At 53.9% G+C, this 24,703-nt stretch overlaps 1 protein-coding gene across 6 annotated transcripts in view, besides 1 other annotated feature; it reads right to left on the bottom strand.

Moving 5' to 3' along the window:
• Positions 770-1,603: an enhancer, noted in NCBI's record as "H3K27ac-H3K4me1 hESC enhancer chr11:70289993-70290826 (GRCh37/hg19 assembly coordinates)". NCBI's record gives its function as "activates a minimal SCP1, AML or CMV promoter by ChIP-STARR-seq in naive H9 embryonic stem cells {active_cell/tissue: H9 hESC(naive)}" and the evidence as "EXISTENCE:reporter gene assay evidence [ECO:0000049][PMID:30033119]".
• CTTN (cortactin) overlaps positions 8,915-24,703 on the bottom strand; it is a 38,047-nt gene continuing 22,258 nt past the window's right edge. For 2 of the 6 annotated variants that reach the window (NM_138565.3, XM_006718447.4), the window contains 7 exons: positions 22,495-22,550; positions 20,089-20,158; positions 16,291-16,439; positions 14,210-14,299; positions 12,212-12,389; positions 11,772-11,843; positions 8,915-10,464 (listed from right to left, as the gene is read on the bottom strand). In NM_138565.3, the coding sequence (NP_612632.1) occupies positions 10,328-10,464; positions 11,772-11,843; positions 12,212-12,389; positions 14,210-14,299; positions 16,291-16,439; positions 20,089-20,158; positions 22,495-22,550 (752 nt within the window). In that variant the 3' untranslated portion in view covers positions 8,915-10,327. Of the gene's footprint in view, positions 10,465-11,771; positions 11,844-12,211; positions 12,390-14,209; positions 14,300-16,290; positions 16,440-19,402; positions 19,794-20,088; positions 20,159-22,494; positions 22,982-23,909; positions 24,021-24,703 lie in introns of those variants that run through there. The other 4 variants (NM_001184740.2, NM_005231.4, XM_006718448.5 and 1 more) reach the window with 4 other exon arrangements.

The following is a 24,703-nucleotide window of genomic DNA, read 5'->3' as shown; positions in this document are numbered from 1 at the left end:
AACGGGCAGTCAAGGAACCTCCCTCAGTCCTTCCCGTTTCAATAAAAGGCAACTCCATACTTCCTGCTGCAGGCACCAAAAACCTTGGAATCATCCTGACTCCTTTCTTTTCCTCTTGCTGTGTCTAATCTGCTAGCAATTCTCGCTGGGTCTATCGTTAAAGCACAGCCAAATGCTAAGGCCCGCGTATCCCGCTCCGCTGATGCCACCCCTGTCTACGCCTCCACACCTCTTGCCTGGGTTACTGAACTGACCTCTTAACTGGGGTTCCTTCCTCCTCCTGTGCCCCCCTAAAGATCTTCTGAACACAAATTCATCTCCCTGCTTGGTTGTGAACCCTGGAGTGGCTCCCATTTCACTCAGGGTCAGGCTGAAGTCCGCACCGCACAGTGTATAGTGTTCGCATTAGACAATGAATGAAATCCGTTTCAGTGAGCTGGTCTGGAAACCAAACCATTGCTTAGACTGTTGTTTCTATGGGAAGATGAATTCTGAGCCCTGCACCGCAGATTAATTAAACCACATCAAAATTCTAAAATTCTGCAGGAAAAAAAATCCTACCGTAAACAAAGTGAAAGACAAATGGAAAAATAGGGGAGAAAGGTAGGCAAATCTTATAAATATACAGCACATAGAGAAAAACAAATCTTTCCTAAACAAATGTAAAGCTGTTACTCTCTCATAGTGAGAGGTACATTAAACCGACAATATGAGACCACCTCAACCTATTGGCAAAGGTTTTTTTTTTGTTTTTTGTTTTTTTTTTCTTAAATTTATGAGACGGAGTCTCACTCTGTCGCCCAGGCTGGAGTGCAGTGGCACGATCTCAACTCACTGCAAGCTCCACCTTCTGGGTTCACACCATTCTCCCGTCTCAGCCTCCCGAGTAGCTGGAACTACAGGCGCCTGCCACACCAGGCTAATTTTTTGTTTTTGTATTTTTAGTAGAGACGGGGTTTCACAGTGTTAGCCAGGATGGTCTTGATCTCCTGACCTCGTGATCCCCCCCCGCCCCACCTCGGCCTCCCAAAGTGCTTCGGTTACAGGTGTGAGCCACTGTGCCCGGCGTATTGGCAAAGCTTTTTTTTTAACCTGCTAATGATCAGTGCCAGCCGTGGTGCAGAAGGCAGGCAAGCTGGTTCTCCCCATGGCAGGCAGTTGTCAGTTTCCACCCAAATGTACAAGAACCAAGAACTGAATCACATGCCCAGGGTGACAAGGCAGGAAGCGTGGGGCCAGGATTTGAACTCAGGCTGACTCCTGGGCTGAGTCTCCTGGTCATCTTTCCTGAAACCAAACCCTATTCATGGCTCTCTGCTCTGGCAAGCTGTTGGGTACAAGACCCACCATGAGGGGGACAGAAGGGTGGGGACCCCGGCTCTCAGAGTTGCTCAACCGAGAGGCAGAGAGCTTTAATTGAAAAGCAACACGTATCACACTAATGCTGCTGACTGGCTCGGCTCACTCGTTCCTTCGCTCAATCAGCTGCAGATCATTCATCAAGCACCTTCTGGGCTCCCGGGACTGACCTTGCAGGGGAGGGGAAGAGAAAATAAAGACCCTGTGCAGAATGCCCAGGCAGACATCACAGTATACGGACCTCGTGGGGATGGTGGCCTGGGCTCCTGCGGCTGCCGGCGCAGATGACCAGGCTCGGTGGCCTCAAACAACACAAACGTCTCCCCTTAACAGAGCTGCAGGCCGGAAATCTGACCAGGTCTGCTGAGCTGAAGTTAGGGCGTCCGCGGGGCTTCCTTCCTGCTGGAGGCTCCCGGGGTGTCCACTTCCTTGCCCGGCTTCCAGAGGCTGTGGTGCTCCTTGGATCCTGGCCCCTGCCTCTTCCACCTGTAGGGACTCTTCAGATTGCACTGGGCTCACTCAGATGATTGAAAGGAATCTGCCTTAAAAAAAAAATGTGGTAAAATATTCAAAGCGTAAGAATCACGATTTTAACCGTGTTTCCATGAACAGTTCGTTGACTTGCAGCACAGTGACACTGTCGCGCTGCCGTCGCCGCCGTCCAGCTCCAGAACGCCCGCAGCTTCCGCTAGAGTTCGCGAGGGTTTGTCTGACTCCTCCAAACCTCAGTTGGAACTGATCCCATATATCGAAGGTGAGGCCTAAGGAAGTTCTTGGGTCATGGGCACGAATCCCTCGTGAATAGATTAATACCCTACCCAGGGGCGGGAGGGAGTTGTTGGTTTTTTCCAGAGCTGGTTGTTCAAGAGCCTGCACCTGCCCCCCTTGCTTCCTCTCCCCCACGTGATCTGAGCACACGTGGGCTCCCCTTCCCCTCCCCCATGAGTGGAAGCAGCTGAGGCCTCCCCCAGGAGCAGACATGGGCATCATGCTCCCTGTACAGCCTGCAGAACCCTGAGCCAAATCTCTTTTCTTTAGAAATCAGCCAGCCTTGGCTGGGTGCGGTGACTCATGCCTGTAATCCCAGCACTTTGGGAGGCCAAGACGGGTGGATCACCTGAGGTCAGGAGTTCCAGACCAGCCTGGTCAACGTAGTGAAACCCCGTCTCTACTAAAAATACAAAAAAATTAGCTGGGAGTGGCAGCAGGTGCCTGTAATCCCAGCTACTCGGGAGGCTGAGGCAGAAGAATCGCATGAACCCAGGAGACAGAGGTTGCAGTGAGCCGAGATTGCACCATTGCACTCCAGCCTGAGCAACAAGAGTGAAACTCTGTCTCAGAAAAAAAAAAAAGAAAAGAAGTTACCCAGCCTCAGGTATTCCTTTATAGCAACACAAAGAGACTAAGGTATATTCCCAAATGGAAACTCTGTGCCTATTAAACGTTAGCTCCACACCCCCCACCCCGCCCGCCAGGCCCTGGCAGCCACCATTCTCTGTCTCTGTGAATTTGACTGCTCTAGGGACCTCACGAGTGGGATCATACTGCATTTGTCTTTTTGTGACTGGCTTCTTTCACTTAGCATAACATCTTCAGGTTCATCTGTGTTGTAGCATGTCAGGATTTCTTTTAAGAGACAGGGTCTCACTCTGTTGCCCAGTGCGGTGGCGGGACTATATAGCTCACTGTAACCTTGAACTCCTGGGCTCAAGGGATCCTCCCACCTCAGCCTCCTGAATAGCTAGGACTGTCCTTCCTTTCAAAGGCTGAATAATATTCCACCGTCTGTATTTATGTATTTACATTTTATTTACCCACTTTCCCACAGATGGACAGTGAGTTGCTTCCACCTTTTGGCCAGAGAATAATGCTGCTGCTATGAATATGGGTGTAGAAATATTTCTTTGAGACCTTGTTTTCAACTATTTGGGGTATATACCCAGAAGACATATTGCTGGATCATATGGTACTTTTTTTTTTTAATAGGATTTGCTATACTGTTCACAGCATCTGCCACATTTTACCTTCTCACCAACGGTGCATGAGGGGCTCAATTTCCCCACATCCTCGCCAACTCTTGTGACCATCTTCTTCATGGTAGTCACCCTCATGGGTGTGAGATGTTACTGCAATGTCTTGGCTCTGTCCCCCAGGCTGGAGTGGGGTGATACAATCATAGCTCACAGCAGCCTTGACCTCCTGGGCTCAAGCAATCCTCCTGCCTCAGCCTCCTGAGTAGCTGGGACTTCAAGCGGGTCCCACCACACTCAGCTAATTTTTAATTTTTTGTAGAAACAAAGTCTCCCTATGTTGCCCAGGCTGGTTTCAAACTTCTGGGCTCCAGTGATCCTCCTGCCTCAGCCTCCCAAATAGCTGGGATTACAGGTGTGAGCTGCCCTGCCCAGCCTCCATGTGGTTTTTGTTGTTGTTTTTTTTTTTTTTTTTTTTTTAGACGGAGTCTTGCTCTGTTGCCCAGGCTGGAGTGCAGTGGCACGATCTCGGCTCACTGCAAGCTCCACCTCCTGGGTTCACGCCATTCTCCTGCCTCAGCCTCCTGAGTAGCTGGGACTACAGGCGCCCGCCACCATGCCCGGCTAATTTTTTTGTATTTTTAGTAGAGACGTGGTTTCACCGTGTTTGCCAGGATGGTCTCGATCTCCTGAACTCGTGATCCGCCCGCCTTGGCCTCCCAAAGTGCTGGGATTAGAGGCGTGAGCCGCCGTGCCCAGCCTCCATGTGGTTTTGATTTGCATTTCACTAATGATGGGTGATGCTGGGAATCCTTTCTCCTGCTCGTTTTCCATCTGTGTATCTTCTTTGAGACATCTATTCAAATCCTTTGCCCGTTTTTAAATGCTTTGGGTTTGTTGTTTAGCTGTAGTTCCTTAAATATTCTGGACATTACCCCCTTATCAGACGTATGACTTGCAAATATTTCTTCCCATTCTCTAGGTTCCCTTTTCATTGTTATGTCCTTCAATGCTGTTTTTTAAATGACAATCAACTTACCTTTTTTTTTTTTTTTTTTTTTTTGAGATGGAGTCCTGCTCTGTCACTCAGGCTGGAGTGCAGTGGCGTGATCTCGGCTCACTGTAACCTCCGCCTCCCAGGTTCAAGCGATTCTCGTGCCTCAGCCTCCCAAGTAGCTGAGACTATAGGCACGTGCCACCACGCCTGGCTAATTTTTGTATTTTTAGTAGAGACAGGTTTTGCCATGTTGGCCAGGCTGGTCTCAAACTCCTGACCTCAAGTGATCCGCTCGCCTCGGCTTCCCAAAGTGCTGGGATTACAGGCGTGAGTCACCACGCTCGGCCCAACTTAGCTATTTTTCCTTTCGTTGTCTGTGCTTTTGGTTGCGTATCTAAGAAATCATTGCCAAATCATGAATGTCATGAAGCTTTCCCCGTTTACTTCTAAGAGTTTTATAGATTTAGGTCTTGTGTTTAGGTCTTTAATCCATTTTCAGTTAATTTTTCTGTCTGGTGAAAGGTAAGGGACCAACATCACTCTTTCGCATGTGAATTTCACTTTCCCAGTGCCATGTGCTGAAAAGATAATCTCCCAATTTGAAGGCCAGCTGATTAGAAACATTAATTCCATCTGCTACCTAATTCTCCTTGGCCATGCGGGGTAACATCATCACAGGTTCTGGGGATTAGGATCTAGACATCTTTGGGAGGCCAGGATTCTGCCCACCAGAGGGAGATTGGGCCTGCAGGGACTCACGTGCATCTCATTCACACAACCTACTCAGGAGAACACAACTGACCTTTGAACAAGGGTGTGAACTGTGAGCGTCCACTTATACGCATATTTTTTCAATCAAACATATAAAAAATACAGTATTCGGGCTGGGCATAGTGGTTTATACTTGTAATCCCAGCACTTCCGGAGGCTGAGGCAGGAGGATGGCTTGAGGCCAGGAGTTCAAGACCAGCCTGGGTAACATAGTGAGATGCCGTCTCTACAAAGACCTAAAAAAAAAAAATTAGCCAGGCATGGCAGGTGTGCACCTGTGGTCCCAGCTACTCAGAAGGCTGAGGTAGGAAATTGCTTGAGTGAGGGAGGTGGAAGCTGCTGTGAGCTATGATGGTGTCACTCCACTGCACTCCAGCCTGAGTGACAGGGACCCTGTCTCAAAAACAACAAACAATATAGTATTCACAGAATGCAAAGCCTGCACACACAAGGCCAACTTTTCATAGATGTGGGTTCTGCAGGGGACTGGGGGACTTGAGTATGTGCAGATTTGGGTACAGGAGGGAGGTCCTGGGCCCAATCCCCTGCAGGTACCGAGGGACAGCTCTATTCCTAGGTAATAGCAGGAGGTGTAATTCACAGAAAATATGAACAAACATTAAATCCAGAGATAGCTAAGTTGGGCCGAGCTGACAGCTCACAAATGACAACGGAGCTGTCTCAAATGGTTTTTAATCGAAGAAGCACTATTATAACAATGACAGTAGGTAGGAAAAAAAAGCACCTTATCACACAACATAGAATTCTTTGACTATGTTGCTGTCTGTGTGCATTTTCACAATCATCATCAAAAGCAGAGCTCGTCTTCCCATGGGAGGTCAAACAGGTCAGAAGAAATAATCAGAGGGAAAATGGGAGAAAAGAAACAACAGAATTCAAAACACAGGACTGAGGGGCCGGGTGCGGTGACTCACACCTGTAATTCCAGCACTTTGGGAGGCTGAGGCAGGTAGATCACTTGAGGCCAGGAGTTCAAGACCAGCCTGGCCAACACAGTGAAACCCCATCTTAACTAAAAATACAAAAATTAGCCAGGCATGATGGCAGGTGCCTGTAATCCCAGCTACTCAGGAGGCTGAGGCAGGAGAATTGCTTGAACTTGGGAGGCGGAGGCTTCAGTGACCTCAGATTGTGCCACTGCACTCCAGCCTGGGCAACAGAGTGAGACTCCGTCTCAAACCCCAAAACCAAAAAACATGGGACTGAGATGAGAAAAGGGGAGAATCCTCATGTTTCAGGCAAAACAAGTAAAAATTATTAAAATCTATTGTTACCTTTTGTTGTTCAGATATCTTCAGTGTGTTCCATCAGACTGTGGAGGTGTATCCTGGCAATACATCTCAAATTCAAGCAGGTAAATGGATCTAGCAGGCATCTGACTAGAAAGAGGGGTTAATTCTTTTATCCTCACTTTCAGATGAAGAAATTGGAGCTGAAGGTCAGCAAGGCAGGTATCAAAAACCGTGCCCACTCCACGCAGGCCCTGGCGTGGAGGGACGCAACAGGGAGAGCTTTCCTCTGAGAGGCCCCTGGCCAGGCCCGAGCCGTGTTCTCAGATCTCCTTGTTCTCCTTTCAGAACTTCCTCTTCTCCTTGGTTAGAATTAAACACAGTGGTGGGGGCCGGGCGCGGTGGCTTCGCGCCTGTAATCCCAGCACTTTGTAAGGCTGAGGCAGGCTGATCACCTGAGGTCAGGAGTTTGAGACCAGCCTGGCCAACATGGCGAAACTGTCTCTACTAAAAATACAAAAATTAGCCAGGCGTGGTGGTGCACACCTGTAGTCCCAGCTACTCGGGAGGCTGAGGCAGAACTGCTTGAACCTGGCAGGTGGAGGTTGCAGTGAGCTGAGATTGTGCCATTGCACTCCAGCCTGGGCAACAGAGCAAGACTCTGTCTCAAAAAGAATAAATTGATTAAAAAAATAAAAATCAGCACAGTGGTGGAATCAGATTTATTGTGTCAGCTTCCCCAGTGCTGAGCCATCTCTCTTACTCAACATCTCCCCTCCAAGGCCCAGCACACAGTATGTGCACAGTTAATACCATGTCAGCCACTCTGAACATCTTGGGTTGAAGAAGCATTCGCCAGCATATCTTCCAGGAGCAAAGTAAGCATTTTCACCCCGACAAAGCACTCTCCATGCTGTGCCCACATCTGAGCGCCCAGAGTGGCCAGCAGTGGCTCCAGTGGCTCTTGGAGGTGCCTGTGTGCCGACGGCTCCCTATGTGCCACAAAATCGTTTTCCATGTCTGGGCACCAAGAGAGAAAAGCACGTCCATGTCCTGCCCTCCCTCCTCCAGCAGGCTGAGAGCAAGCTGCTCCCAGGCAAGCATGCCCCTAGGCTGTTCTTCAGGCCAGAGGGGACTTGGGGAGTGAATCCAACTTTGAGACAGAAGGCACGGTGAGCTGACATTAAAACGACCACATCTACGCTGGGCACGGTGGCTCATCCCTGTAATCCCAGCACTTCGGGGGGCCGAGGCAGGTAGATCACTTGAGGTCAGAAGTTCTAGACCAGCCTGGGCAACATGGTGAAACCACGTCCCTACTAAAAATACAAAAAGTAGCCAGGTGTGGTGGCATGCACCTGTAGTCCCAGCTACTTGGGAGGCTGAGGTGGGAGGATTGCTTGAGCCCTGGGTGCACAGGTTGCAGGAGCGGAGATCACGCCACTGTACTCCAGCCTGGGCGAAAGAGCAAGACCCTTTCTCAAGAAACAGAAACAAAAAACCCCAACCACATCTAAAAAGAAAGCGGCTAAGATTCAGGTGGTTGGCTCCAGGCACTCAAGCTGCCAGGCCACGCTTGGCCACCAATAGAACAGAAACACAGACCCACTCAAGATGTGTCCCGCTCCTGTTGAGCCCCTGCCATGCTCATCCGCAGGCGGCACAGGCACACACCGACTGGGCAGACAGTGGGCCAGCGGGGGCCCTTTCTGCATGGCCCCCTCCCTTCGTCACACCCTGTCCTCCAGCCCCCTGACCCCGTCTGCCCACCCTGGCTGGGACTTTCCCCTGGTTCACAAGCCTTCATGCCTCATTTCTTCAGGACTCAGCTCCCTGCAGGTGGCTGCAATCTCACCCAGCAGACAGGCCCTGTGTGGGACGGGGCTCGCCGTTAGGGCTGCAACCCTGTGATGCAGAACCCACAGCAGCCCGGTTGTGGCAGGAGGGCGGGGGCACTCTCACGTTAGGCTCCTGTGGGCAGAGCTGGCAGAGGCACTGTTTCCTAAGCCAGAGGCAGGTGTGGGACAGCCCAAGGGAGGAGGCAGTGCTCCGTCACCACCCAGGTTGGAAGGGGTAGCAGGCATGTCGTGTAGCCGAAAGCTCCCTGGGAGCACCTGATGGGCAGAAGTGTGAGCCGGAACCCAGCTCCCCAGCACCCCCGGCTCCCGAGGGCACACCTGCTCCCTCAGTGCCACTGTTCCCCTTAGCCTTTAACTTCTGGTGCCCCTGAGCAAAACGAGACTGGGAGCAAAATCCCCCTCAGGATTTGAGAACTGTAATTCAGAAATGACTTTTAAGCACAGAGTGTTTTATTTTGCTTGGAACCTTTGTGCAAAAAACTGAATCATCTGCCAGAGTAAACACATTTCAGTTCATAAGCAGCACCTTTGAATGAACACTGAAAAGGGAACGTACGGTTCGGTCTAAAGCCAGAACAGAACGCGTGAGACGCACTGGACGGCAGGAGAGCCTCCGCCAGCCCAGGTCCGGGGCGCAGGACACCGAGAGTGTCGACGCAGCTTCCACTGCAGAACGGAGTGACCACAGACCAAAGCAAATCACGCAAGTGGATCAAAAAATGTTTATTCTGAATTCTTTAATTTAAAAAAATCATACCTATGAGGTGTGCTACAGGAATTCAGATACAATAAGTTGCATATAAAACCCGACCTCATTGCTCATTGTGGTAAAGCAAGGATGATGAGAAAATGCACCTCAGGAGCAAAAACACGCTTCACGGGCACTCCGGGACCCAAGTCCCGAGACATTTCCACGTGACCTTCTGGAAAGACACACCGCCCACCTGACTGCACGACGGGACTGGTCCAGCCTCCCGGCTCCTCAGGAAGGAGATGAGTTTCCTACAAAGTGAGTGGCCACAAATGCCAGGACAGCGGTGTCCTGGAGCTGTGGGGGGACCTTGGGGAAGAACACACACTCATCTGCACTTCACACTTCTAGCCTTCAACTGATCAAACTACTGAAATTGAACATGATATTTTGGCAAAAATACTACACCCCCATTGACAGGAGGAGGGTTCCTGGCGGCTCACAGCAGAGCAGGCACTGCCTTCCTTCCCAAGGCCGAGAGGCCATGCTGTGACATGGCACACACACCGCCCCAGGCTGCCCGGTGGCCCAGGGACCATATGGGTGACAGTTAAGACATCAGCCTTTGTGAAAAGCCAAGCCCGACGCAGACCTCAACTGCACTGTGCGTCCCAATCCAGAGACCCGCGGGGCAGGGGAGGATTTCAAGGACTCAGTGACACTGCCCGGCGGGGACAGGAGAGGCTCCCAGCAGCCCTCCCGGTGACCTGGGCATCAGGGGATGGGTAGAGATGAGGACAAGCCGGAGTGGGCACAGGAAAAAAACCAGGGTCTCTGCTAGAAGTCACCTGATCCTGCGGGCTGTCACGGTATGACATAGGCAGATTTCCCATCTGACATGGCAGCTCCTGTGCTCTGGGTGACTTAGCTCCGGGTTAACTTCCATCAGGCCCAGTCCTCTCCTCCCCAGCAGTGAGACTCTAGAGGAAGCCCCTCGTCTGGGACAGTCCTTCCTGCCTACCCGCCACAGGGCCGACCTGAGGCCTCGTGCTTGTCCTGGGAGGTCCCGACTGCACTTGATGGGCACGAGGGCAACACGAACACAAGAGAATGCGAGCTCCCTGAAGCTGCCGCGTGACAGTCAATTTGGCAAAAAAGAAAAAAAAAACCATCAATGCATAAAACCAATTACCAAAGTCCTCCTAAGGAATGTGATTACAATATATTAGCAAATTCTGTGGCATAAACATTTTCAAAAGCATCAGCAAAAGTATTAAATATAAAAGCAATGTGTATATTCCCCTCCCCACCTTCAAAAAAAAAAAAAAAAAAAAAAAAACAGAAAAAACCCAAAACCACCCAAGAACCAAAGAAGGCCTGATCTGTAGTGTGAGGATCCAGGGCGCAGCTCCGGGGGGGGGCTGGGGGCCCTACTGCCGCAGCTCCACATAGTTGGCTGGGAAGAGCCCGTACCGGCCCTTGCACACCCCGCGCCACCAGCCGTCGTCAATCATCTCGATGTTGGTGATGATGTCATCAGGGTCAAATGAGATCTCATCATCGCCCGCTGGGGAAGAGAACACAGAGAAAGATGCTGAAGTGCAAGCGTTTCCTGGTCTGCCAGAAAAAAAGCACAACCCAGAGCAAGCTCCCAGGCAGCCTGCTCAGAGATGCCCCCTGCAGAGATGCGGACCACCGCGGAGGCTCCTGCTGCCTCTCCCATGCCACCAAGGCCAGGATTTGTGAACATGAACCGAGAGAGTACAAAGAGGCACAGAGCCCTTCACACAAGCACCAACCCCACCCGGACCCCTTCCTCAGGAGCAGGTTTCCACCACATAACTCCAGCCCCGCCTGCCCTCCCTTCCCCTCTCTCTGGCAGACGTGTCTGTGGAGGGGGTGGGGAGATGGGCTGCGGAGGCCGCAGTGGAAGGACAGCCAGGGGACACCCGGAGAGAAGCCCGAGGTGATGGCTGAAATGGGAATGGAGGGCAAAAGCCACGGTGATGAGAATCCACGCACAGGTGCCGAGATGCCACAGACACACCCACATGCGTGTACGCAAATGCACGTGTGCAAAAGGCACTGAACGGGGACGGCCAGCGCTCACTTATGGTAGAATGCCAGCTTCCGCGCTGATGGAAAGTTGCAAACGGGAAGCACTCAAGAGGCAGAGGCCGGGGGTTCTGAGGGGAATCCCACGCCACCCGTAAGATGCTTGTCAACTGCAGAGGGGTGGTGGTGACTTTGTGGACCAGGTGGTGGCTGAGACAGAGGGACAAGTGGATGCTATGCGGCCCAGCAGAGAGCCCCACCGCATGGTCTCCAAGACCTCACCGCCACCAGAGCACAGCTCAGCCTGGCCCTGAGGGAACACGGGGCGGGCGGCTGAGGCCAGCCCAGGAGCTGAGGCTGCTCTTAAACTGCCAAGGCCGCAAAGGGAACTCAGGGGAACGTGCAGGCCACACGGGAGCTGGCGGCCGGGGCAGGACAGGCAGGAATGGGGTCTCGAACATCAAGGCATCTGTGCGGCCCCCTCACCTGGAGGGTGGGGTGTCCCTGTGGGACAGCATCTTTGATCTTGGGAAACACGCTGGAGTCTTTGGGGGTGGCAGCACCCCTGCAGCTCTCCAAGGGTTCAGAGAATACTAAAGATAACAGGGGGTGTGTGCGTGTGTGTGCAGAGATGGAATCCGGGTAGGGAACATGGGAGTTCTTGGCACTATACCTGCAACTTTTCTATATCTCTGAAATTATCTCAACATAAATTACTTCTAAAACTAACAACGCTAGAGAAGTGAATTCTCAGAAAACAAGCAGAGGCAGGCGCAGCTGCCTGGGTCTCCCCTCCAAGTGCTTTTGCAGGCCGCTCACCAGCCTGGTAGTCGTACAGGGCGACGGCTGTGATCCCCAGATCGTTCTCGTACTCATCGTAGGTGCTGTCCTCTAAAAGAAAGCCATGACAGAGCTGAACAATACAAAGTCCCACACAGGTTCCCAGCCTTCTCAAGTTTTAGACGACACTTCCTAAGATTTTGTCTCAAGGACACAGGGCGGCAGCTGAAACCCTCCCTTCCTCTGCCCCTGCCCACCCGTCCCCAGCACAATGGGGATCTTCCTGGGACCCAGCACAGGAGCCGATGCCCCAAATGTGCCTAGAGCACTTCCCTCCAGGGACAAGAAGACCCTATAGCAAGCAAGCAAAGGCGTGTCAGTGGGAAACCCACGCTCCTCGCAACGACGCCACAGGTCGAGCAGGATGTCCCGGGAGCTCCCTGCCCTGGGCAGGGCGCTGCAGCGTGGGGCCCCAGTACCTGCGGGATAGTGGCCCGGGGCCTCTGCGCTTTCATAGACAGCCTCTGTGGCATAGGCCAGGCCCTGCTGGCTGCTGGCCTCTCGGTAGTCAGCGGCCTCCATGCTGTACACGGGCTCCGGCTCCGTCCCACTCACAGGGCCTCTGTAGCTCAGCTCTGCCTTGAAGGAAGCCGCATCCTGGGGAAGGGTCACACGCACATGGCACGGGGCCCATGCTGGCTTCTAGAGAGCAGTAGCTGTACTGCCACAGCCAGCAGAAACCCACGGGCCATCTAATTCTCAGTCCCAGCCAGGACTGAGAAAACAGACGCGGTATAGGAAGGCCAGGCCTGCCGGTGTGTTCACCATGGTGGTGAGTGCCCACATGCCATTTCCTTCCCGATGATGACCCGGTCCTCACCACCGACACTCCAGTCCTGCAATAACCACGCCCACACAGCAGGTTAGGAGACACGCCCCTGCCCACACTGTTGCCTGGGGGTAGAGCCTGTCTTTGTTGGGTTAATTTGGCTGATTTCTTTTTTTAGGCCTCATCTCCAAGGCCACACAAGGCACCCTTGGGCCGAGCGGCCACCCTCCTGCCTGTGCTGCTCGACCCTGGCCCTGCCTGACAGCGGCTTCACCACGTGGCTCCAGAGCAGCTGAGCCTACAGACAGGGCATCGCCAAAGAATCACATTCAACTACAAAGGTGCGCAGTGGAACACCTCTCTATCTATAACCACTGCCGCTTCGGAGCCCCAGCGAAAATTCTGAACTGCTTATCACCGACAGTGGCTTTAATCAATGTTTCTGACCAGGGTCCACCTGATGTCACCGGCAGTGACTGAAAGAAAGCAATGCCGACAGCTCAGAACCGCGCACCCAGGAGATCTGGGAAGAGCCAGTGGTGGAGAGCTGCTAGCCAGGGAGAGTAATCGGGCAGGGAGAGCGACTCCACCCTCAGCACAGGCACCAGGAACCACACAAGGGCTGAACTGCACGGGAGGGGCAGGGTCGGAGCTTCCTTGAGGCAGATGGCGCTGGCTGCCAAGGGGAGGGACTAGAGGGGGAGGCCGGTTCCTGACAAGCTGCAAGGCCTCACTTACCACATCCCCCCAGGGCCCGGCAGGGTAAAGGCAGCAGGCAGCAGCGTAGCCAAGGAGGGACAGTCGGGTGGTGACAAGGCCACGGCCATCGAGGCCCAGATCCCAGACCCGGCCTGTCTCCAGGGCTCTCTCTGGGCTCCTGAACTACCATGGTCTGGAGTGTGACCCCTGTAACTGACTGGCTCCTGGGCGAGCAGAGATGAATGCATAGACCAGGATGATGGCCATGGGATGGAGAAAGGGCAAGGGCTGGGGACAGGAGAGGTGGTTACAGGTAGAGGGTGTGGTTAGCGCAGAGGTGCTGGCGGGGAGCAGGAGACCCAAAGTCAGGGATGGGCGGGGCATCGGCAGGCGGCTCCGTAACTCAGGGATGGGGACGGAACACTGGGGGACCCATGAGAGGGGGTCAGCAGCACAGGGAGGGGCCGGACAGCATGTCTGCAGCCACACTCATGAGGGGCTGCAAGGCTGGAGAGCTGAATGGGGCAGGCATAGAAGGCAGATTGTGCGGGAGGCAGGGGCTCAGTGATGAAGGAGGGCAGCACTGCCATTAGGGAGTGAGGCGGCGTCCTGCACAGCAGAGAGCAAGTGGGGTGAAGACACCCCCATCTGATTATCTGATAGCAGGTGACTACAGCAGGGACTGCAGTGACAGTGGCCAGACTACAACAGGCTGCAGAGGGGTGAAAGGATGGCATGTGGGCCTGCACAGCTATCCCCTGACAGCACTGAGGCATGTCACCCACCCCCCAGGCGCTCCTGGCCCACCCCTCTCCGGGCGTGGAATGCAGCGATGCCCTCTACACCCACGCCACACTGCCTGCCTGCAAGGGCTTCCTCCACTCCACAAACAGGACCTGGGCTCTGGCAGTAAGTCACTCACGCTCATTCAAACACCAAAGACACCAACCTCATAGACGGGGCTCGAGGGCAGCCTCTCCTCGGTTGGCTGAGGTGCGGGCGACACAGGGGGCGTTTGCGTTTTGGCTCTGGCTTGCTCCTGTGATTGAAAACAAACAGCAATCAGAATGCTGCCATGACACTCTGCACTGTCACGCCTGCCGTGTTTCAGAAGATCGTGTGCAAGCTCTAGGCATGCTCTGGGGAAAGGAGTGGAAAACACCCACACCAAGGCTGAGCTGGAGCACCAAGCCTCAGATCCCACCAGCACCCCAGCAGGATCCGAGGGGCAGGGGAGCTGGAGCACCAAGTCTCAGATCCCACCAGCACCCAGGCAGGATCCGAGGGGCAGGGGAGCTGGAGCACCAAGCCTCAGATCCCACCAGCACCTAGGCAGGATTCGAGGGGCAGGTGTGCTCTGAGGCCGAGATCACACAGCCAGTGACGCGACAGTGCCGGGACTGGGCCACAGCTCATTCTCGCCCACACACGATTAGATAGTTTAGGCACAGATTTGGGAGTCTGAGTTGATGCTGCAATGGGTTGAGACTTTGGGGACCTTAAAATGGGCTGAGTATGTTTGCACATGGGATGGACATGAAGCTTTAGGGGCCAAAGGATGAACTGGGGTAGGATAATAGCCCCTCAAAGCTGCTGACATCGCAGTCCCCAGACCCCATGGGGAGGGACTGTGTATGTGATGAAACTAAGGGTTCTGTGATGGGGAGAACTCTGGACTGCCTGGGTGGACCCAATGTAATCACAAGGTCCTGAGAGGAGGGAGGCAGGAGTGTGAGGGACAGAGGAGGGGCGGTGACAACAAAAGCAGAGGCTGGAGATGGGAAGACAGGGCCGAGGGGCCACCAGGAGGAACACAGCCCTGCTGACATCTTTGAGGACCTCTGACCTCCAGAGCTATAAGACACTAGCTGTGTGCTGTGTGTGGTGGTGACTACGGCAGCAACAGGAAACTCACTGACAGCCTGTGGGCTCCAGTGCCAGACGCTGAGTCTGAGGGTGAGGTGGCAGGCACAGGCACACTGGCCAGGGAGCTGCCCAGGCAGGATCTGAACCCCAGGTGTCCACTCCAAACCCCTTCCCTCCTCTCCCTCTGCAGGCGGCCTTGCTCTAACGGGAACAATGGTAGTGCTGTCTTGTCTTTTTGAAGAGAAAACCACCCCTGGTCTTGAGACCCTAGCACGGTTCCTGGCATCTATGGCCTTGCTTGACCCCAACAGGACAGTTGTAAATTCCCACGTCACCTGATGCCATCCACAGGTTAAACACCCAAAGTAGCACGTCCTGTGTGGCCCTGCAGGGGCAGGGCCTGGGGTGGATAGGAGAAGCCCAGGCTTCCAGACAGGCTGGGCCTGCCCCACACTGCAGATGCCCCAGCTGCAGAACCACACCTGGTAACTTCACACACACACATCTGTAGGCCTCAGGCTCTATTCACAACCCCCCTGATCCAGCTGAGCACAAGGAAAGTCCTTGTCAGTGGCAAGCCACCCAGGCTAGACCCAAAGCACCCAGACACAGGCTCGTGCTCCGCCCCTGCCAGGGGTGCACTTCTGGCATCTTTCTCTGGGAGCGCTTCTCCACAGCCCAGGGGCTTGGGTGAGCGGGGCTGGGCTGGCCAAGCAGAAGCAGGCCCCGAGAGCAGGCTGCCTCTGCACAGAGTCCCCTCCAAACCCCAAACTTCCACCTGGGAAAGGAGGGGCTTCCAGAGGGGGAGGGGTGAGAAGAGACTCAGGCTGACATTTGGACAGGAGCCCCGTGGAGGTGGAAGCCGACAAGACTCTGCCGTCAGCTCAGGGACAGAGGGCAGGGCAGGTTGGCGGGTCCTGGGGCTGGACCGGCAAGACCAGGATAGCGCTAGCCGGCTGCCTGGAGCATTGTGGCCAGAGACTCAGCCTATGTGTGGCTGCAAGTGACAAGTGCCTTAATGGAGAGCCTTAAAGGAGAGTTAAACATGCCTTCCAAGGAAAACCTGGCCAGGAGAGAATAAGCCCCGCCCAGGCCCCAGAGCTCCCAATCCCCTCGGCACAGGTCCCAGGGAGGGTGCGCTGCGGCCCACTCCTTGCCACTCACCTCCAGCTTCCTCCTGGCCTCTTCCTGCTCCTGCCGCTCCTTGGCCATCCGCTGGGCTCTCTCCGCCTCCGCCTTCCGCCTGTCCTCCTGCTCTTTCTCCTTAGCGAGGTTTTCAAAGTTAGCTCTGATGTTACTTGTTTTGCTGGTCACTATAGAGGAAGGAGGGAGGACGTGTGCCTTGAGCACAGCAAAAACACTGCTCCTGGACAACAGCCCCACCCACACAGAGTGACCTCCCCAGGAACCGGTCATCCCCCTAACCCCCAAGGAGGGAAAGGTTCTTGCAGCTGCCAGCTCAGCCCACTGGTCCGGAGCCAGCACTGGGCACCTGCCGCAGGGCACTGCGTACCTGGTGGGACTGGCAATCCCCCTAAGCCTGGCATCAGGAAGATCTCTAAATAAGACGGTATCTTCACCACCACACTCACCTTTTTAAATAAAAACAGCCAATTTCCCTTAAAGACATCTGTCCTTGATAAAGCAGTTAAGGTACTGATGTATACTGTAATTGACGTATACTGAGTATAGTAAATCTCAACCAGAGTATACATTTTTTTATATTGTGTGTGACAAAAATGGAAAAGAGGGCAGTGGCTCATGCCTGTAATCCCAGCACTTTGGGAGGTTGAGACGGGAAGACTGAGATCAGGAGTTTGAGACCAGCCTGGGAAAGACAGTGAGACCCCGTGTCTATTAAGAAAAAATGATAAAAATTTAAGTCAAAAGTGGGGAATATGGCCGGGCATGGTGGCTCACACCTGTAATTCCAGCACTTTGGGAGGCTAAGGTGGGCGGATCACGAGGTCAAGAGATCAAGACCATCCTGGCCAACATGGTGAAACCCTGTCTCTACTAAAAATAGAAAAATTAGCTGGGCTTGGTGGCAGGCACCTGTAATCCCAGCTACTCGGGAGGCTGAGGCAGGAGAATCGCTTGAACCTGGGAGGCAGGGGTTGCAGTGAGCCGAGATTGTGCCACTGCACTCCAGTCTCGCGACAGAGCGAGACTCTGTCTCAAAAAAAAAAAAAAAAAAAAAAAAAAAAAAAGTGGGAAGACACATGAGCCTTCCCTGCTGTGTCCGGGACTGTGGCGGTGGCTGTCTGTGTCTCAAGGACCATGAATAGAACCATGAGAGCTGCAAGTTGACTGTTTTCTCATGGAATAGCGTTTTTCCCTGAAATAACAACTGACAGTCCAACTATGGTTATGCAAAGCTGGGTATCTGGCAACAGTTTTCTCCCAAGTGAATGAACTAAGCCTATTGTGTCAAGAAAAATTACTGGAGTATTTGTTGCCAACGGGAAAATTCCAGCTTTCAAGTAAAAGACAGAATTTTGAAAAATGTGAGGCTGCCACATGAACATGCTGATTTCCACTCAGCTTCTGCAGATGAAATAGATGATGACAGCAAATGTGATTTTTTTTGGTATTGTGGAATGAGAAGTGTCCACAACTGGAAGACGAGCACAACTCAGAGACCCAGCATTTTCCAAATGACCAACACACAGTGCTGCCCAAGCACAGTGGGTAGCGAGTCCCTCACAGGGCCAGAGGAGCCGGCCTGCAGGACCACCACTGCCTGGCACGCTTGGGCGGCGTCGCAGAAGGACACCCACGCTGCCCTCAAGGTTACAAACACTCCTCCCTTTCCCAATCGCCTACCTAGGTGATTCCACATGTTCTTCCTAAACAACGTAACATCGATAGACTGCAGAGGCAGATGTGAGAGTGCAGCCATCTTCTATTAAAGAGATTTACAAAACAAAACAATGCCGGTCTTCTCACTAAGTGCTGGGATTACAGGAATGAGCCACTGTGCATGGCCAGTTATATTATTATTTTTATTTTTTGAGATGGAGTTTAGCTGTTGTCGCCCAGGCTGGAGTGCAGTGGCGCAATCAAGGCTCACTGCGACCTCTGCCTCCAGGTTCAAGCAATTCTCGTACCTCAGTCTTCTGAGTAGCTGGGATTACAGGCGTGGACCACCATGCCCAGCTACTTTTTGTATCTTTAGTAGAGACAGGGTTTCACCATGTTGGCCAGTCTGGTCTCAAACTCCTGACCTCAGGTGATCCACCCACCTCGGCCTCCCAGAGTGCTGGGATTACAGGTATGAGCCACCACACCCGGCCAAGGTTTATTCTTTTTAAGTGAACCAATTAATAACTTTCCAATGTCGCTCATGCCTGTAATCCCAGCACTTTGAGAGGCCGAGGCAGGTGGATCACTTGAGCTCAGGAATTCAAGACCAGCCTGGGCAACACAGTGAGACCTCATCTCTACTAAAGATAAAAAAATTTGGCCGGGCACAGTGGCTCATGCCTGTAATCCCAGCACTTTGGGAGGCCGAGGCGGGCAGATCATGAGGTCAGGAGATCGAGACCATCCTGGCTAACACGGTGAAACCCCGTCTCTACTAAAAAATAGCAACAACAACAAAAAAATTAGCCGGGCGTGGTGGCAGGCGCCTGTAGTCCCAGCTACTCCGGAGGCTTGAGGCAGGAGAATGCCGTGAACCCGGGATGGGAGGCGGAGCTTGCAGTGAGCCGAGTCCGCGCCACTGCACTCCAGCCTGGGCGACAAAGTGATACTCTGTCTCAAAAAAAAAAAAAATTTAACTGGGCAGGGGGCATGCGCTTATAGTTCCAGCTACTCCAGAGGCTGAGGCAAGAGGACTGCTTGAGCCCAGGAGACTGAGGCAGCAGTCCTGCCTGGATGACACAGCAAGACCCGGTCTCAAAATAAATAAATAAATAAACCATTCCTCTCTCTCTTTTTTTTTTTTTTTTGAGACGGAGTCTCGCTCTGTCATCCAGGCTGGAGTGCAGTGGCGCAAACTCCGCTCACTGCAAGCTCCGCCTCCTGGGTTCACGCCATTCTCCTGTCTCAGCCTCCCGAGTAGCTGGGACTACAGGCGCCCGCCACCATGCCTGGCTAATTTTGTTTTTGTATTTTTAGTAGAGACGGGGTTTCATCGTGTTAGCCAGGATGGTCTCGATCTCCTGACCTCGTGATCCGCCCGTCTTGGCCTCCCAAAGTGCTGGGATTACAGGCATGAGCCACTGTGCCGGGCCACATTCCTCTAATTTCTAATATAGTCAATGTCATCAAATACATCAACATCTTGGGGGTTCTCACGAGTGGTCAAAGTGTCAAAGCGTCCTGGGCCCTCAATCTCTGAGAACTGTGGGTCCATAGCCCCTGAAGGAAGTCAGTGGTGGCTCTCTGCATCCTGTGTTAAATTTAGCACTTGCTCTCATGTATGTATAACATTTTCCCCAACTACTTGACTCTCCGGGGCAGGGCCCACATCTGACTCCATCGTGTGTCCAGCACAGAAAAGGACAGGTTTCGAGCTCCCTGTCAAGGGCCCAAGAACGAGCAGCAGAGAGAATGTCTGCTGTCGCCTGCACATCGACGTCATGATGTCTTCCTCCTGTCACAGCTGCGACCGAGCGGCTCAGGGAGTTGGGCAGGCCCCAGCTGCTCCCAGAAGCTGGTCACTGGCAGTGTGGAGGCCCTTGTGAATGTGCACTTAGCCCCTTTGCTCTGGGAAGAGCCCCTTGAAACGGGCCCCACTGAAACGGCTGCACCATGCTGCGTCTAAAAGGTGACTCTAAACCTCTGCAGGAGAAACAAGATCTTCATCAGAACGATCATTTTCTTTCCCAAAAATACGCAGCAACAACCACGCTTTCAACTAGTGGTGCATCTGCTCCTGGCTGTTTCACAACTGTCCTTCCCCTCAGTGTTTTCCTGGGAAACCACACGGTGCTCCTGGTATCAGCCGGGACTCACCAGCTTCGACAGGTACTGTCTTCTGGTAGGCAGAGGACACCTGGGTGACATCCTCAAAGGTTGACGCATTCTGCAGAGACAGGACATGGGCGTCAGGAGAGCACTTTTCTCTTTTCTCCATGCCCTGTGGTAGCTCCTGCCAGATGCAAATGCCTTCCCCAGATCTTCCCAAAGGCCCAGCCACACAGCCCAGAGCACTCTTCATGGCCTCTCGGTTTTGCAAACTAACTGAGGCATGAAAACTATTACCAACCACATTTGCAGGCAATCGTGGGTCAGCATTAGCATAAGAAATGCATGTATCTCCATCTGCTCTACCACAAACCAATTCTGGGATCAGCCTCAAGCCTTCCCCACCCTCCGTCGCCACCCAGAGGTGTGAGCATTTACAGGAAGCGAAGACGCTGGGGACACATGCAAGCCTCCAGTGGCCCGTCCTACACACTACCCAGTGGTGCAATCACACCTTTCTGCATTGCAGGGGACTCAACTATGGTCTGACCAAGCGACGGCGATGACTCTTACGTGCTGACTCAGGTGGAGACTGTCAGGGCTCATGGAGACCAGTGGCCGTACCCAGTTTCACTGTGGGTTTCACTACCTCTGATGAGAACACCTGAGGCTCAGAAGCCACCAGAGCCCCCATACCATGGCCCCTTTCTGCCCAGCACCTCCTGCTTGCCCCCTTCCTGGCCCGCCTGTCCTTCCTCGGACCCCGCTCCCTCCTCCCATCAGTCAGCTCCAGCGTCTACTCCATGTCCCTTGAGCTGCTTGCACCTGTTCAAAGGCAAGGCCATCAGCCTTACTGGGTCCCATCACCCACTGGGCCCTCTGCAGACATCACCTTGCCCTGAGGGGGCAACTTCACCTCCCAGCCTGGGTTGTAGCCCTATCCCCACAATGTATGGGGACCCGGGCAGTTACGTCACCCTCTCTAAGCCTTGGACTCCTCCATCACACAGCAAACAGAGAGAGAAGCTCCACCCCCTCCTGGATGAAAGACAATGACACGAAAGGCCACACCCACACACTGCCTCCTCACGTGCTCACAAGCTCAGCGGTCACCGCCAACACCAGCAATGCTGACCACAGACACCCACAACACAGGCAGTCCCTCAGGTTCCGGCCTCAAAGCCACAACCTCTGACTCACCCACAGGGGAGCTCCTTCCCTCCGTCTGTCCCAGTGCCTTGCAAGGCCCCTGCTACCTCACTGGGTCCCCCTGCCCAGTGTCCTCTGACCGCGTGCCTACTCCCCTCCCAACTCTGCACGCCACCCGGACCCGGCCCCGGCCCTACCCCAGCTCTCTCTCGCTGACACCCACATCTGCTCCTCCCAGTTCTTCGGCTCCACAGTTGGCCCCACGTCCACCCCACATCCACCCGACTGCTCCCTCCCCTGCGTCCCTTGGCGCCAAACACCATGCCCTGCTTCTCCACCACCCGAGCCCCTCCAGCTCTCTTCAGGACCACACCCCTCTGCCCAGGCCAACCCCCACAACCCAGACTCCACGCTGAGGCCGGGGGCTTCTCAAAGTAGACCCCCCCAGTGTTCCTTGCCTGCTAACCTTTCTGGGGCCACGCACGTCAGATGCTCTGTGGTGTGTGACGCATGTCACGACATGCAGAATGCTCTGTGGTGTGTGGGGCTCTCCAGGGCCAGCTCTATCCCCGCTCCCCACCCTCCCTCTGCAGCTAGGCTCCTTGAGAACCTGCAGTGACTCCTGTCCCACCCAGGCCCACACCTCGCCCCTCCGTGGTCTCCTGAGCCTTCTCTCCTGGTGAACTCGCGCCTGCCCTCAGAAATGAGCCCAGGCTACTGCTCCCTGGGGAGCCCAGCCCGAACACCTGCTCTGCCTGCCTACGCCCCTGGATGGTGCTGTGTGGTCAGCTGCGAGGCAAGGACTGACCCTGCCACCCCTGACCACAGGCCACGCGCAGGAGCAGGCAGTGTGGAGCCCGCGTCTCTACGAGGCTGAAGACGGGAGACATGGCTCATCACCGCACACGCAGCGCTGGCTGCCAGCGAGGTAGCCCCACACGCAGTCTAACACACTCAGGTTCCAATCTGATTTACTATTAAGAATTTAAGTTCAAATGGACATGAGCCCTCGAGGCTCTCACCTCTCATGTTAAACATCTGGGTTCCTATGGCTGCAGCCAGGTGCTGAGCCTGCCTGGCCTGGGGCCCCCAGTTAGGAGGTGGGCCGGTGCCAGCGCCTATCCCACAGCACGGCCATGAGGAGCACAAGACTGTCCGAGTCAGTCATCGCCACCACCACCACCACCACGACGGAAATCACTTGTGCCCCACCCCAGCGCGTGGATGTTGGCCAGCACGGTGAGCCACGCCCACCAAGAGCCCCTGCAGGCAGAAGACACTAAGCTCCGGGGCTGGAATATTTACCTTATCCATCCGATCCTTCTGCACCCCATACTTCCCGCCGAATCCTTTGGAGTAGTCTGAAACGTGGCAAAACACAACACTTACTCTGAGGTGGAGGCGAGCATGGGGGTGGCCGTGGGTGCATGCAGACAGATCCAGAAACAGCCCAAGAAGGTGCACCACAGCGGGAAGAAACGAGAATGGCCAAGCGAGGCTTCACTTGCAAGGCAAGTTTTGCTTCCACCCATGGTCGTGAGACACAGGCAGTGAGAAGCAGAGCACAGGCCAGGGGCAGAGGCTTCAGCATTCCCTGAGGGGCAGGAGGGGCAGGAGGGGCGGCGGGCAGCAGGCAGGAGCTAAGCGAGGAAAGAGGGCACGGACAGGCCTTTGCAACGCGCCACTTCAATAGCACAGTCTTCCGCACCAGCACGGGCTTATTCTCATCTGCTTCCTGTGCGCCTGCTCTACTGAGCGCTAAAAAGAGGCTCAATCGCAGTTTGTTCTCTTGCTTTTTAAGAGAAAAAAAAAATCCATGTGGAAATTCTACCAGCCAAAGACTTCCGTTGCAGCAACACAGATCCACATGAAAGTCACACTGTCATGCAGCAGTGATGCCACGGAGAGCCACTGCCATCTCCATGCAGTCTGCGGGACCACCCCAGGTGTGTCTACCTGCCCACACCTGAACACTGCTGTGTGTTTCTAACGCTGCAGGTGGAAAGCCTAGAGTCTTCCCTGCAAGGTTAGGGAATTACTGTTTTTCCAATTATGTGTTCAGGTTCTAATAACCAAGTCCAAATTTTGAAGGTAACAACATAACTGCTCTAAGGAAGGATGCAGAGCTGGCTTCACGTACATACTGTGTGGCTCTGTGTGGAGATGTTACACACATATGGTGTCATCAAACAGAACAAACAAAAAACCTCCCAACCCCGGCCAAAAACACCACCACAAATGAAACACAGAAACCACACAGAACACGCCTGTCTCCTGGCCCTTGCTGCTACGAAGCCCCTGGTCAAATGGCCAGTGGTTTGGTTGAACCAACACCTCTCTCCTCATCTGGAAGGCCTGACTCAGTGGCTCACGGCAGTCACCAATAACAGCAGAACAGCCTCGGGCAGAATGCTGCTGGAGACCGGAGATGCCCCAGTCCAGAGACTGGATGGGTCACCGGGTTAGAAAGATGGCACCCACACACTAACTGGCGCATCCTGCCATACACAGATCACAAGTTCACAGGGAAGAAAGTGAACCACTCAAAATCAGTGTCGCTCTACTAGAAATGGGTTTAAAGTGCCGAACAGCCTGACAGCTGACAAGTGGTGACACAGGAGGACTGTGTTGCAGGTGCTGACGGTGAGCCCTGAAGTCTGTGCTAGAAGTGGCCGCACAGGAGGGTCGGGGGGAGGGTAGGAGGCTGGTGGCAACTGTGCCTTGCTGGGACTCGTGCTTGGCCAGCTTCTCCTTGTAATCAAACCCCACAGCAGCGGAGTCCTGCCTCTCCGACTGAACACCGAATTTGCCTCCAAAACCAGTCTTATAATCTGAAAATCCACAAGCAACGGTGGGGAAAACAACCAAAAGAGGAAACACAGTTGGGTTAGAATTGCATGAGCATGCGCAAAAATCAAACACAGTTTCCAGAAAGCAAGGGCTCTCCTGAGCTTAGGGCCTTTGAGATCCTACTCCCAGGCTCAGCGCCAGAAGGTGGCTCCAGAGGTCAACGTTAAAGAATGAACTTAAAATCTGAACATTCAGCGAAGATCTGGAACAGCCTAAGAACTGTACTTCAAATAATTCAGTAAAGGCACTCCCGGCTGTGCAGTTCATTCTTAGCGTCCTACGCACACTGCAGACGAGTGTGCGTATCTGTGTACACGGGAGGAGAGACCCTGCAGATTCGGAGGGCGCTGCAGCCCCATTAGCCCCGCTCCTGCTTCTCTCAGGGCTGGGTCACACTGAGAGGCTTTCAGCCCCCTCAGGCTCCTTTTTCCAGGGAAGGGGCACCCATTCCAACAAGAAAACACTTTCGGTTCAAAAGTAAGTATCTCCTGCCAAAAACCGTGGCCCACTTTATAGACAAGAAGCCTGGATGAGGAGCACTGCAGGCTTGGCCCATGTCCCCACTCCCGGGTAAACCCAGCCCCCCGCTGCAGGCCTGACACATGCCCCCACTCCCGGGTAAACCCAGCCCCCCGCTGCAGGCTTGACCCATGTCCCCACTCCT

Source organism: Homo sapiens, chromosome 11, assembly GCF_000001405.40.
Source record: "Homo sapiens chromosome 11, GRCh38.p14 Primary Assembly".
Classification (NCBI taxonomy): Eukaryota; Metazoa; Chordata; class Mammalia; order Primates; family Hominidae; genus Homo; species Homo sapiens.
The sequence above is the reverse complement of the archived record's forward strand: the minus strand, read 5'-3'. Positions and strand labels throughout refer to the sequence as shown.